Source organism: Homo sapiens, chromosome 4 (assembly GCF_000001405.40).
Source record: "Homo sapiens chromosome 4, GRCh38.p14 Primary Assembly".
NCBI lineage: Eukaryota > Metazoa > Chordata > Mammalia > Primates > Hominidae > Homo > Homo sapiens.
Window position 1 is genome coordinate 182,710,218 of NC_000004.12, and position 15,651 is coordinate 182,725,868.

Sequence of the window (15,651 nt, forward strand, 5' to 3'; positions counted from 1 at the left end):
GAATCAGAAACTCCAGAAGTTTCGATGGCACTTTCTTTATGTTCAAATCATCAATTAAGCTGTTACAGGGTTCTACTAGTTTATATGGCATGTAAAGTATATAGCATGGAGAAGGAATTATAAAGAAATTATATGAATGTTATGCAGTAATACATTTTTATTTTAATGTTTAAAAGGTAAATTATTTTTATTATTATAATTTCAGAGTAGCACCTAACACCATATGTTCTTCACTGTAATTTTCCTTGCATCATCTTATCAATTAGCTGTAAACATGCTTATTTTAAAATGCCATTCAAACGCCTCTAATAGAATCCTGTGGCAAAGTGAAGAATCCTTTTACATACACAGTACAGATGTATCAAAACCATGTACTGTTTTGTTTACACACATGACAGAACCACCACACCTGAGTGGCCCAACTGAGGGTTACAGTTTCAGTCATTCTGTTAGGAGTCCTCCTACCACTTGCATATGTCAGCAGTGAAAAATAATCAACAAAAGCATCTTTGAAAAGCAATTTTAGATCATTAAAGATGTATGAATTTTGACAAGGCGGGAGATTTGAGGCTGATTAAGATTTATTAGGTCTCCACATTGAAGGAGGCATTTATGTCTCATTTCCAGGGGAAAGGCATAGCCTAATTGTAGCCTCATGAAACAAGTGGACAGGGGCAGGTACAGGTACAGAAAAAGATTCAGTCTTAGTCCTGACTGTTCCTACACACCTTTTGTGAGAAAAAGAGCCTTTTCCAGTAGGTTTCTGAAAATAAACAGGATCTTAGAATAGTCCCTGTTTCCTAATGGGCTATATATGCGATAAATCATTGTCTATCTGGCTTGCAGTCAAGAGATACTGGGTAATCGTTTTCTAAAGAACTTACATGTGCCTTTTCCAAATATAACATCAAAATATTACATTTGCTCAACAGTCTCCATTTCTTTTTCTTCTTTTTGCTTATTTATTAACTTTTAAAGTTTCATTATTTGTAGATCTCATAGTTGTAAATTTCCAAAGTTCTTTAAGAATAAAGAATTGATTCCATTTGTTCTGCTCAGCTATTATAAAGGAGAATGTTGAAATGACGAGAGTGGAGTGCATTCCAAATAATCTGTGAAAAGTAGTGTTAGTTCAGTGAGTTGAAAATGCTGAGTATTTGCTGGAATCATGACTACATTTGCTAAAAATGTGAATAGACTGGATTTTTAGGAGATACGAAGTGCATCTCTGTCATGTGATGTGAGTCTTATGTCAGCTGAAGCTACTCAATTTGCATGTAGATTCTGAAAATTTTCTTGTCCCATGTGACACTTCTGAAATGTCTGTCTGTTCTTTTTTCCTTTTTAATTTCCCAAGCTCACTATTTGGATAAGATAGTTAAAGGTACTGTATACTCGCTCTTTGTTGACATATCTACATATATATCTCTATATAACTGTATATCACTAGGTTTGACAATAGACTTTTCCATGCATATTTTTGTAAATTATAAATCAGAGTTAAATTATGTAAAATGCCTTGGATTTAAAGTATTGAGACTTAAGTGTCTGTGTCTCATTTTTATAATTTTGGGTTATCACAGATTTCATTCTTTGTAAAAGCGTTAGTTTTCTCTAGAACCAGAAACTGAAGATAATGGTACATTTGCTGTTTTTTGGTTTTGGAGGTTTTTTTCTTTCTTTTCTTTTTTTTAAGATCTTCACTGTTGGCAATTCAGCTTAATGAGCTTTAAATTCTAAGCTAAAGAATCACAAATACTCTTATCACAGAATAAGAAATTGTCAATCTAAAGAAGATCCTGGTTAACATGTTGAGAGAAATTTCGTTTATTTCATATGGAAGCTTCTTTGGTTTTTTTCCTAAATGTTTCAAAATATATGTGGTATCACAATTTGTGTTTTGTTATTTTTTAAAACCTATAAATACTGTACAGTCTATTAAAAAAAGAACTGATAACCTTGTTCAGCAGAAAACAGCAGATTCTCACATCTTCAGTTATCGTAGAAATAGATGGAAAAAGTTTTTTCAGAAGAGAAAATTCCCCTTCCCTTTCTCCTCAGATTACCTACTTTCTATTCCTTGTTTGTGCTTTTCATTAGAATATGAAAATATTCATGGCAATATCCAGGCTTTCATATACCAACTCCTACGTGCAGTCAGTCAGCTGCCGCACCTCCTTGTCAGTGGGGCAATTCAACCTTTCGTTTTCATTAAAAAAAAAAAAAAAAAAACACATCCATAAGGAAGATTCACCTTTTATTTATTGAATAATCCATAAATACAGACGGTAATTGTCTGAGCGAAAAGAAGCAGCAAAATTAATCTCTTCCTGACCTGATGGTATCCATAAGTGTAATTTCATTGTACTCTTCCATGAGAGACAGTCGAAATAGTCTTCTTTCTGTTAACTCTAATCTTAAGAGACAGAATGTCTCTTGGCGATATTTTCTTTTCAAGTTCCACAGTGGAGGAGGGGACACCAATATATGAATAATTCTTCTAACACAGACTTAAACATCTTTAAAAACAGATTGTTCCCTGAAATTTTGTCACCGGAGCAATAGTAGCATTCAAATGATAAGAAGCTGTAAAACAAACCCCAATTGCTATAGCAAGTATTTTTATTAATATGTTTTATACCAAATTATAAATAGCTCTGTCCACAGAAATCTGATGAATAGCCAGTTATTCTTAGAATTTTAGAGCATTTCTCTCCTTGCTTCTGTCAGTGTCATATCACACTCATAAACAAGGACACCAGAATCTACCCAAGTGTCATCCTCATAAACAGATCACATTGGCTGCATGCCAGATATCATCAGTAGGAAGTGGCAAAAATTGTTTTTTTTAAATGTCATGTTAGACTGAAACAATTATAGATTTTGGATATATTAAATTATTTTAATTGTTTCCCAAATTTTCCCTCCTTGCCCATAAAAGCAGACAAGATAGGATATAAAGGTAACAGCATAAAAGCCTTAGGGAGATTGTCACAAAATATCACTCTTCGCTATCTGTCTTGAAGCACGTCACTACCGTGTTTTTGTTCAGTCTATCAATGTTTTATTGTGGTCCTTATGGTATTTCATTTTGTCCGTCCTAAGTAATCCAATATGCACAGCTATTACATTTAGTTGGAAATCCTGTCGGTCCTGTCCCATCCGTATGCAGCCTGAATCCTAATGTTTGTTAGAATAGATGCTAAGCTGCTTCACTATTTCCTGGGCTTTGCTTATTCTGTGACAAGGAATGTACTCTTGGCATAAAGTATAGTCATTAATCCTGGCCTATACTTTGTGCAATTATTTAATGCACTGTAATTTCACATGAATGTACGGCAACTCCGAGGCCAGATAAAATTAATGTTCTCTTTTTGACATCATTCATATCCTCATACCCACTTTCATGCTTTTGGAGTTTGAGGGAATTTTTTTAAGCAACAAGGTGCTTTAAGAAGGCATGTCTTGATAAATGACCAGTAATGTTTAAAACAGATTACAAATCTAGACTAGGGATTCTGAAATTATTTTGTTGAGATGGCTTTTCCACACCGTACAATATACCTTGTTGCTTGGCTAAAGGGAAAAAATTTAAGTTAATTTTGTCTGGCCTGCAGCTATTTAGTGGATCGTTGCATATATTTCTGTCCTGCACAGGTAAGTGGTGTCTCAAGGGTCAGGCCAATCAAAGATGCCACTTGGATAAGAATTAGATTCCATAGATAACGTTGCTGTTTCTATCCATGTGCAATTACAGTATTTGTGCTGTTTATAAAGGCCTGTTCCCACTAAGTGTCCCTTATCTGTTTATTTTAGGTGCAAAAACTCAATACTCAAATCACTGGTGTTTTCCTTCTTTGTCTCGACAGAGGGTTGTCCTGGTCTGTGCAACAGCAATGGAAGATGTACCCTGGACCAAAATGGCTGGCATTGTGTGTGCCAGCCTGGATGGAGAGGAGCAGGCTGTGACGTAGCCATGGAGACTCTTTGCACAGATAGCAAGGACAATGAAGGAGGTAAGAAATACTGAGCATGAACACGAGTCTGTGCCAGAGCACAGGTTCGTAAGTGACAGTGAGTACATAGATATCTGTTGCCAAAAAAAAAAAAAAAAAAAAAAAACCTGATCCCCATCGATTAGATTGATTGAAAAATGTATGAGTGCTGATAGAATGATTTTGCTCTCCATTTTTCCTGAAACAAATGCAAGATTATTATCATTCAGGGAAAAGGCAAGGTAACCAAGCTACTGCATAATGTCCATTGTTCTCCATTCCTTTTCCTGGTCCCCAGGTGACTCTTCTCCTCAACCACAGTATTTAGGGCTCTGTGAATTGGGAGCTCCAAAGCAGTATTTTAATAACTGACATTCCAAAAGATGCAAAGAATTTTCCAGCCTCTTCTGTTGAAAGGCATGGATGGAAAAAAACAAAACAGTAACAGAGAACAGTCCCCTGGATGCTGTACTCTAGTGACGTTTTATCCTTAACTTGATACTCGGTTAAAAAGATGGTGAGATTCCACCCAGTTGAAGCCCTTGGTTAAGAATAATTATTTTCACCGTTGACCTCAGCCTCCATGTACTGTATTTTAATTTCAGGGAATAGAGTGAGAGTTGGTGATTTCCTCTCCAGTGATGGAATAGTTGGCCCTGATAGCTGTTTTGTTTTGTTTTTTGTTTTTTGAGATAGAGTTTCGCTCTTGTTGCCCAGGCTGGAGTGCAATGGCACGATCTCAGCTCACCGCAGCCTCCACCTCCCGGGTTCAAGTGATTCTCCTGCCTCAGCCTCCCGAGTAGCTGGGATTACAGGCATGTGCCACCACACCTGGCTAATTTTGTATTTTTAGGAGAGACAGGGTTTCTCCATGTTGGTCAGGCTGGTCCCAAACTCCCGACCTCAGGTGATCCGCCCACCTCGGCCTCCAAAGTGCTGGGATTACAGGCGTGAGCCACCGCACCCAGCCAGCTGTTCAGTTTTGACATAGCTTTAGCGCTGCATTTTTAGGAGGGCTGTAGTTCCTATCCGGGCCTCTGTGGACACTTGCCACGTGTGTTAGGTTGTGTTTCCCTGCCACTCCACCAGCCCCAACCATTCTCTCTGCTCTTTTTGAGACTGTGCACATGGATGATAAAGCACTGGCTAGAGTGTAGGTTTTGGAGCAGACACATCTTCACTGAACCATGTAGTAATCATGTGACCTCAGACAAAATCTGTAATCACTTTAACCTCAATTGCCGCATCTATAAAATAGGAATAAAAGAGTTTTTGAAAGGATTAAGTGAGAAGATGCATGTGAAGTGTGTAGCATATTGCCAGGCACAGAGCCTGCTCTAAGTAGCAGCTATTATTATCCAGTTTCCCTTCTTTGCTTTCAAAAGTGCTCATCTTGACTAAGTGAACTTCATAGAAGGTTGTCAGAGAAGATTGAATAGCCTTTGCCTTTCTATACCTATAGAGGGCCTCAACTACTATTCTGTAGGAAACAGAGCGACCAGAACCAACCCCTCAACCTCCCTTCCAACCCAAAACACACACACTCACACACACACACAGAGACACACATACAAGCAAGCCTGGGCCGACAGTCATTCTCAAAGCAAATGTTACTTGTGTCTTATCCTTCCGACAAGGTGCTGCAATTCTCTCCTTTAGTTTCTAGCAGACTGTTCACTGTTTTCTCTTAACTTGGACAGTCAAGAAACTTGAGCCACAAATTCTGAGCTAAAGCCTTTCCTTCCTGCTCCGGATAGATTTAGGTGGCCCGTAGCCTTCACAGCTTTTCCTGCTTAATAATACCTTGTTGCCTCTGACTCCTCTTAACTGTGTGCTTTATAGACATGGCAGCATTAATCCTCTCAAAACCACAGTACAGATGGCTCCTCTCTTCGTTACTTTCCCCCAAAGAACCCCCTACTCCAATGTTGCTATTGCCTAGGGAGGAAGGAGAGCTTCTCTTTCTCCTTGATCATATAGTTCAGATTTTGCTTCTAAGAGAAGATTGCACTGAGGAGTTTACAGAGTCTCTCAGAGGGAAGCGGGCTGCAGGACCAAGTCTGCAGAGACACTGCCGAGTAATTTAGGGGCTAATCAACTCTTTAGTGGTATTATCAGCTAAAGAGGTTTTTCCTTTTCCTCAAAATTTATCAACTGTGAATTGGCCTCATTCCCCTTTGTTTATTCTGATTAGCATGAAACTATGCTATCTCTAGGCTCCCCTCTCGGAGGGGAAATCTGAGCTGACAGAAGACCTCCTGTGGATTCTCTGCTTATCTCACATAATTTGTATTCCTGCCTCTAACCTAATTTTGCTGATCTTTTAAGAAGGAATCTCAGTGCCAGCCTTCTTATGCCCTGAGATTGTAACCTGGATGCTTTATAACCTAAGCCAGCGGGTTCTTTGAACTTAAGCATAAGCTACATGTATAAAGATGGTATTTTCCACACCAAACCCCAAATCAAAACACGAAAGATGGCAATGAAGGATGTCAATTATATGAAGACAGTCGAACAGAATGTTTAGGAACTATAAATCCACTCCTTATTTAGGACTAGACTGGATTTTATTAGACTGAAATTCTAGGATATATGGTGACTGATTGTAGTGTTATAGATCCATTGTCTAAGTTTAGTTATCAAAATGGTGACTTATCCAGAGAGTAGCTAAGTAACTTGATTTAGCATATTAAGGAACTCAGGAGGAGGAGAGGGTGAAGAGCCCAATGTGGCCCTAGTCAGCAATTGAACACTCCCAATAAATAGCTACTATAGTTTGAGCAATTTTGTAGAACACAGTGTTTGTAAAAGAAGAGCAAAGGAAGTTGCGTACCATTCCCGGAACTAAAGAAGTATCAAAAAATTTTAAAAGAGACATCCATCATATAGGGAGATCTTGAAATATCTTCTTAGGCCAAGCATCTTCCTTCCCCTGCAAAATTTATTTTACTTCACCCCGTCAAGTTTGCCCCATCACCACTGTTCAATGGTAAAGAGTTTAAACATCTGAATCTCACTAAATAGGTGTTCCTCCTTGCCTTCATGTATGTCTGTCCCCCTTTATCTCTAAAAAGCTGCTTTAGAAGGGAATTCCTTATGAGGAATAGGAAGAACGTAGATGGGGGCGACTTATCTTCAGCCACCCTTTTAACACCTGTGCTGCTTTCCAATAGGTCCTTGTTTCCTTTCAGACAAACAGCTGTCATGTACGCTGGGTAACTGTAGCTTTTCAGAGCTAAGGGCAATCTGTTACCCGTAATAAGGGCCCTGACAAAGGTCTCCACTCTCTATGAAATCAGTAAGGTATCCCCCTCATCTGCTTCTCAAATCCAGCTCCAGGTACCAAATAGAGGCTTTGGGAGCAGATCCTTTTGACAAAGGCAAGCAATGGATTACTAGATTCTTAAATCACACAGTGGAAATCAGAAACAATGCTCACTGGACCAGATAATTGTGGATAATATCCCCAATGGGGCACGTAGACACTTTGGGAGCAACTAGTTGCTGTCCTGTCCTAATTGAGAAAGCTTTTAGAGCAAATGATCACCAGTACTTCACATGGCTTATAAATCTTTCTTCTTCAACTCCAACTTTACTTATGAAGACAACAGTCCTGTAAATTGAGCATTTGTTGCTCATATCCCAAAACACTGTGATCATGAAGTTGCTGAGTCCAGAGAATAGGAAGGTGAAGAGATGGGAGCTGCTCACTCCTGAAGGAAGTGCGATCTGGAGTGGGGGTTAAGACAGTGACTGTTAACCACAGTCTTCGGTTCCTCAAGTACCTCTTTTCACCAGCCATTTGCATTGAAGTCTGCCCTGTCTCACAGTGAACCCTACCACAGACTTCCACTCCCCCTCAACAGGAAAACCTTCTCCTTTTTGAAGGTTCTACTTGACCATTCTGACCAGGAAAGACCCTGGTCTCACATGTGAGACGTTCAACTCAAACATTATTACACGTAAAAAAAAAAATTATTAGCTTATATAACTGAAAAATTCAGATAGAGTTGCACCCAGGTGTTCAAATGATGACACCAGAAACTTAGGTATATTCATCTGTTAACTCTGCTTTCTTCTACCTTAGAATCATTCTCAGGCCATCTCCTCCCCAAAAAGGCCACCACCAGCTCTGAGTTTACATTTCACTTCCTAATAACTCCACCACAAAGAACACACACCTTTCTTCATGGTTGTGTGTGGCCTGGGCCTGAGCCTGAGCCTCACTCTCGTTGGTCTGAATTAGGTCACCTGCCCAAAGGAAAACTGAAGTGCTGTCACCAGAAGAAAGGGGCTTGGATGCTGGGCAGGCAGAAAAACGGTCTACTATGGGAATAAGAATAGTTCTCCACAGCATTCAGCTTTAGTACAGTCAGATCATGTACTGCAGTAACTAGTTCATATGCTCATGGACTGTCACTTTCAGAAGGAATCTTCTTCTCTCTGTCTCCTCCTTCCTTGCCAAAGTATAGCCTTTTGACTTGACAAGAATACCAGTGCTGAACCTCTGATGTGCTTTTTAGTGCCCAAGATTAGCAAGGCAGCTATCTAATTCTCCCCATATACTTTTAAAAGCATCATTGCTTTTATTTAGCCTGCTGCGAAGACTCATTCGGCAAGGGGTTGCTTGACTTTAAATAGCTCTCCAAATGATGGTCTCACTATGCAAGCACCAAAAGGCAATAGCTCGCCAGAGATAATTCTGTCTCTATGGAAACTTAAGATACTTTTTAACAAGATGATTTCTCCACAATGCATTGTCCCTGGCAGTCGTTACCAAGCTCCCATCTTCTCCAGAGGGAGATCTAGTCAGTTCCCTTTGACACCTTGCGTCCCTGTCTGGTCCTCCAGTGGCCAGCTCCCCCGTGGGCACCTGAGACATGAGACTCAAGCCCTGTCCTGGAGACTGGCTGGTTGAGGGCACAAGAATGACTTTAAAAGATACATACTAAACTTTGTGCAAGAATGGTGGAATACCAAAGCATAACTCCTGCCAAGAATAATACATATTACCAGTAAAATAGAGTTCTTTTTTTTTTCTTTTTTTTTTTTTTTTTTTTTTTTTTTGAGACGGAGTCTCGCTCTGTCTCCCAGGCTGCAGTGCAATGGCGTGGTCTCGGCTCACTGCAACCTCCGCCTGCCGGGTTCAAGGGATTCTCCTGCCTCAGCCTCCCGAGTAGCTGGGACTATAGGCGCCCACCACCACGCCCTGCTAATTTTTGTATTTTTAGTAGAGACGGGGTTCACCATGTTGGCCAGGATGGTCTCGAACTCCTGACCTTGTGATCCGCCCCCCTCGGCCTCCCAAAGTGCTGGGATTACAGGCATGAACCACTGCGCCTGGCCTAGAGCTATCTTTTATCCTTTAGAATTATTACTTTTTGGGGGGTATATCAGGAAGATGTACCTAAAACAGGCCATTTTTTCAAGCCTCTAGGGGCTGATTACAGTTGAGAAGAAAGCACAAGTCAACTGAGGTTATTCAGAAATAAGAAAGATAGAAATAAGAAATAAATAATTAGATAAATAAGCAAAAGAAGCAGAAATACAATTCGAACTGCAAGAAAGCTGGGTGCAGTGGCTCATACCTGTAATCCTATCATTTAGGGAGGCTGAGGCAGTTGGATTACTTGAGCCCAGGAGTTTGATATCAGCCTGGCCAGCGTAGCAAGGCCCCATCTCTACAAAAAATATAAAAATCAGGCAGGCGTGGTGGCACACGCCTGTAGTCCGAGCTACTCAGGAGGCTGAGGTGGGAGGATCACCTGAGCCTGGGGAGGTCAAGGCTGCAGTGAGCCATGATCGCGCCACTGCACTCCAGGCTGGATGAAAGAGTGAGACCCTGTCTCTCACACACACACACACACAAACAAACTGCAATAAAAAGTAGGAATGTGCTATCACTAGAAAAGGGGAGTGAAGGATTGAAAACAAATGGATGAAATATTAATATAAACATGAGAATGAGTATAATGAATGGAGAGATCTATATTTGTAGATTACTCAGTGAAAATAAGGAAATGTTTGAAAATAGAATTTTTAAAAATCTAGCAAGAAGGTGGGACTATTATGTTCTCTAAAAACAGATTTAAAAATAAAAATAATGAAATGGCAGGAAACAGCACTGGAAAGGAAGCGGGGGAGAGGGAGTTTAAAAAAAAAAATTACAAGAGATCACAAGTATTTCCCAAAATGAATCCAGATATTATCAGACATAGAGTGGTGCTTACAGTCTCAGAGCATTACCCTGTATTATTCAGGTAGATGATGGTTTGGGGGGAAATTACTATTAATTTGAAAGACTCTACTGGATCCTACCTAAAGTAAGAAGGAGATTCAGGTTACTCTGAACCCTTTGGCTATCCACAGAATTTTAGAGGATAGTGAATCCCATTCTGGGGGAAGAACATCCAGCTTGTGCCCTATAAAGCAGAGGACTTCAGTAGCTTCCTGCTAGGACTCAAGGAACGTAAGATTTAACCACTGCATCTTAATGGGTTTTAGAAGAAGAGGAAAATCAGAGCCACACGGGTTGGTACTAAAAGTCTCCCCTCTTTTTTTTTTTTTTTTTTGAGACAGAGTCTTGCTCTTGTTGCCCAGGCTGGAGTGCAATAGCATAGTCTTAGCTCACTGCAACCTCTGCCTCCTGGGTTCAAGCGATTCTCCTGCCTCAGCCTCCCGAGTAGCTGGAATTACAGGCGCTTGCCACCAGGCCCGTCTAATTTTTGTATTTTTAGTAGAGACGAGATTTCACCACATTGGCCAAGCTAGCCTCGAACTCCTGACCTCAGGTGATCCACCCACCTCAGCCTGCCAAAGAGCTGGGATTACAGGCGTGAGCCACCACGCCCGGCCTAAAAGTCTCCCCTCTCTTTTACACCCGTGCCCAGCAGCTGCCACCTGAAGCTTAAGAATGTGGACGTGGGCACTGCGTGGCATCTCTTTAGAAACAGGCCTCCGGGCTACATGTCTTTCCATGTTAAGAACCCCTGCATTAAGGTAAGGGGTTTTATTAGAAGTCGTGGTACAGAGATACTACACTCTCATTGTCAGAAGAGTTAGCCACCATCAGTAACTTCGTGGGCATCTCGTGAATTCATATGCACATTTATGTTATTAAACTTAAATAAATACTATTCTAAATTTGATTCTTCCAAGGACGATATCTTAGAGATTTTTTTCATGCCCGTACACATAGGCCCATCTCATTCTTTACAACAGAAACCTGGTGTACTAATTAATTTCACCACTGCTACACTGACGATAATTTAATTGTTTCTAATTTTTTTGCCCTTAGTATAGAGACAAATCTGTAGCGAATCTGTGTGTGTGTGTGTGAGTGTGTATCTGCATATGAATCTTTGTGTAAATGTACAAATATTTCTTTAGGATGGATTTTTAGAGGTGAACTTGCTGGTTCAAAAGGTATTTTAATTTTTAATTTTGATAGCTACTGCTCAATTGCTTTGCAACACTTCATCAATCTGAAGGTGTTCATAGTCTATCTGTAATTATTGTAAGTAAACAAAAATGTTCAACAAAATGAAAAATATCAATTTTGTCTGATGAAAATGACCCCATTTTTATCATTTTAATTTGCATTTTCCTAATTACTAGTTAGATTGATGATCTTTATATTTATTTCTTTTTTTGCTAATTGCTTATTTATTTCCCTTGTTTTTTTCTATTGAGCTGCTTGATACTTTCTTTTTAACTCTTAGGACTTCATTATATATTCTACTTATTCTTTGTTAGGTGTGTTGCAAATATTTTATCCCAGGTGTTCACTTATCTTTTAACTTTGTAATTTATGGTGCATGCAGAAGCTTTCAGTTGATATGACATAAATTTGTCTGAGGTTTATCTTTTTAGTCGTGACTTCTGGGTTACGTGTCTTCTAAGTAGAGCCTTTCTGAGATGAGACATAGTGTTACAGGATTTCATATAATTTCTTCTAATACTTTTTATAATTCCATGGATTGCTTAATATTCAATTAATCAAGAACATTTTTAAGTACCTATTGGAGTAAAAAAGAAATAGGAATTCAAGGATTAGCATAGTGTCTGAGGGTAGGGAAAGCATGATAGAAAAAAAGCAGGGCATCTCTCATGTGCTTCTAAGCCTTTTCAACTGTTTAGAACTCACAATCTTTAGGAACTTAATTCATTTTTTCCTTCATTTAGCAAATGTATTAAATGCCTACTTGGCGCCAGCAAGTGTGCAAGGCTCTGGGGATACGATAGTAGGGATGGATAGTGAACTAGATGAGCCCTCAAGGAGCTTAATGAGACAGTTGTCTGAGATGATTGCTGAAGGAATTGAGGGCTATGTGGAGAAGTAAGAGAGAAGCTTAGAGATCTCCGGGCAAAGGAAACGATTGTGGTGAAAGGTCTTATAAGCCATGTTAAGGAGTTGTGACTTTACTCAGAAGGCAATGGAGACCAAGTAAAGGAAGCATTTTAGCCAGAGAAGTGAAATAATCAGATTTGGTTTCTCTAAGGGTACTCTGGCTAACATGTAGAGAATGGATAGTTGGGGCAAGACTGGAACCTGGGAAAACACACTGTTGTTAAGAATTTGTCAAGAGAGGACCATGGTGGCCTGATGGATAGTTTCAGGGAAAGAGAAAGAAATAGACTAATTCAAGAGAGATTTGAGATGAAGAAAAGAAGCAACTGGTGATTGATTAGGTGCCAGAAAAAGGAAGAGACGAGGAGTCCAGGATAACGTTCAGGTTTCTATGAGAAGCTGAGCGGGGTGGATGGTGGAACCATTCATTGAAATAGGAAATTGAGCAGCAGCGTATTTGGAGGAGAAGATCATATACAGACATGTTAAATCATATTACACATGTTAAGTTTTAGATGCCTGTGCAATATCCAAGCCAGATATCTAGAAGGCAATTGGTGGCTTTGTAGTTCAGGAGAATGACCAGCCTGGAGTCATTAGCATTGAAATGATGTGAACATGAGGTCCAAAGCCACCAGGAGAGCACTGATGTAGACAACCAAGAATGTGTGGAAACCTAGCATGATCCCAATCCAGAAATGAATGCATATTTCAGTTTGTTTCATGCATATTACAGAATGTGACTAAAAAGAATAACAAAAGTTACACCTGTATACTTTTAAAATTCTGAATTCCACAAATAAAATATTACATGGGAATTTCTAATTCGGACTTGAAACTTGGAAGTTGAGGGGTGGGGGCGAAGTACCAAATACTGTGGGGAAGGACAGTGGGTATCAATTATCTTTTGAGTAAAAAAGAAAATTCATGACTTTTTGTCCAGTCTGTAAACCAAGGTTTTGAAAAACAAATAACAATATCCATAGCTCTTTGAAAGAAGAAAGTGAGAGTATTGACAAGCAGCATAAAGCCAGCATAGAAGGTAACCCAGGAAAAGACCTGTAGTCAAGAGTTTTAATAATCCAACAAAATGTGTATTGTTTAAATTTGCCAGAAAAAAAAGAATCAAGAGTGATGTGTAAAGTATAATAGGAAATATGACAGGATAGAGACCTTGAAGCAGGACCAGGGATTGGCAAACAGTGGCCTCTGAGCCAAAGCCTGATTTTCTTAATAGTTTTATTGGAACACATTCATGCCCATTCATTGACATATTGAAGGCAGAGTTGAACAGTCGCCATAGAGACTATATGGCCCACAAACCTGAACGTATTTACTCTTTGGTTCTACAAAATAATTTCGCCAGCCACTGTAAAAGACCAGTGAAAATGCCCAAAGAAAGATAAGAGCATGTTTAAAAATAATGGACAGAAAAGCTAACGAGAGCAATAATATTACAGACTGAGCGGAGGGAAGCATAAACAGTATGATCTACTTTACATCAGAGTACCACGTAGACTGCAAAGCCTAAACAGAAGAAAGACAGGCTCTTAACTGATCACTGCAGTTATTATTCAGCGGGTTTTGAGCATTTCTGATTTATGTAGATTTTTATGATTAATGCTATTAGACATGGCTTCTATACCAAGATAAATTTAAGCCAACCTAATATTCCTGAAACTAAAATGGAATCTCGATGATTTTTGAGAAGCTATTCCACAAAGACAATTTTACTACACTATACATTTGGGCAAGTGGGTAATCAACTTAGTTAATACTACATAACCTTAGCTGCCGTATAAATACAGACCAAAAAATGAAAAATGTTTTCTCAAGTTATAGGAAGCCAGATTCATAACCATCCGTCACTTGCTTGGGCAAGTTACTGATAAACTCTGCAGAAGAATAACAAACAGTGTGTCCCTGCACCTTGGCTGTTGAAAATGAGATCTTTCTCTGATTGATGTTAGCAGAGAGGCTTGTAAAAATGCATTTCCAACTGATTAGTTCAGAAGGTGTCAATCTCATGCAGTTTTATGACCTGCAGACTACATGCCAGATGTACATTTGCTTTTTATAAACTAACAAAGATGAATGACTAAATTTGAGCATTCCTCTTTGGCAACTGTACCATCTATTGCCTAAGGGAAGACACTGGCAGCATTATGGCGGGGGAGAAGAGGGTAAGGAGCACTTAACCCTTAACTTACCAGATTAATGGAGAAAAATATAATATTTGGAAATACTTTTCCTATTGAATCATTTCTACTTTTGTTGAAGAATGACTGCAAGGGAAAACCTGCAAGAATATCAGATATTTGTGTTGTTATTCTCCCAAGCATATGTACCCATTCGAAATCCATCAAGTAAGAACTAAAGGTACTATATCATAAAACACATTTGAAAGATTCGTCATAAACATCAAACATATAACTATGAATTGGGATGGAAAGGTTGAGGTTTTAAAAAATTTTTTGGTTTGTTTGTTGTTTTGGGTTTTTTTTTTTTGAAACAGGGCCTCTCCCTGTCGCCCAGGCTAGAGCACAGTGGTGGGATCATCTCTCACTGCACCCTCGAACTCCTGGGCTCAAGTGCCTCCCAAGTAGCTGGGACTTCAGGTGCACACCACCATACCTGGCTAAGTTTTCTAACTTTTTGTAGAGATAGGGTCTCGCTGTGTTACCCAGGCCTGTCTTGAATTACTGGGCTTAAGTGATCCTCCCAAAGTTCTGGGATTACAGGCATCAGCCACTGTGCCTGGCTAATTGTTTTTTTGAAGCCAGAAATGATATTGGAGCAGTAGGTCAACAGTCTACTACTTCAGAATTCTGAATCTTAACAACTATGCTTCTATTTCTTTGAGAGAGAGGGAGAAAAAATGTTTTACATTATTATTATATATCCTCATGAAAAATAAGCCAATAGCATAGTATAGTCTTTCTTCCACTAGAAATATTGAGAAATATTTATACATTTTTCATCTTCATGCCCTTTTGCCTAGGAAAGTAATATTTTGATAAATTTATATGAAATTTCCAAACTCAGTTTCATTTGATTTTCTTTTCTTTTTTTTCTTTTTTTTTTTTTCTTTGAGACGGAGTCTTGCTCTGTCACCCAGGCTGGAGTGCAGTGGCGCGATCTCGGCTCACTGCGACCTCCACCTCCTGGGTTCAAGCAATTCTCCTGCCTCAGCCTCCCAAGTAGCTGAGATTACAGGCACCCACCACCACGCCCCTCTAATTTTTTTGTATTTTTAGTAGAGACGGGGTTTCACCATGTTGGCCAGGCTGGTCTCGAACTCCTTAC

At 39.4% G+C, this 15,651-nt stretch overlaps 1 protein-coding gene across 31 annotated transcripts in view; it reads left to right on the top strand.

Moving 5' to 3' along the window:
* Positions 1 to 15,651, top strand: part of TENM3 (teneurin transmembrane protein 3) — a 1,355,412-nt gene that overhangs the window by 1,262,605 nt on the left and 77,156 nt on the right. For 20 of the 31 annotated variants that reach the window (XM_047415944.1, NM_001415969.1, XM_047415937.1 and 17 more), the window contains one exon: positions 3,870 to 4,016. In XM_047415944.1, the coding sequence (XP_047271900.1) occupies positions 3,870 to 4,016 (147 nt within the window). Of the gene's footprint in view, positions 1 to 1,357; positions 1,385 to 3,869; positions 4,017 to 15,651 lie in introns of all 31 variants that reach the window. The other 11 variants (XM_017008385.2, XM_017008389.2, XM_017008390.2 and 8 more) reach the window with 1 other exon arrangement.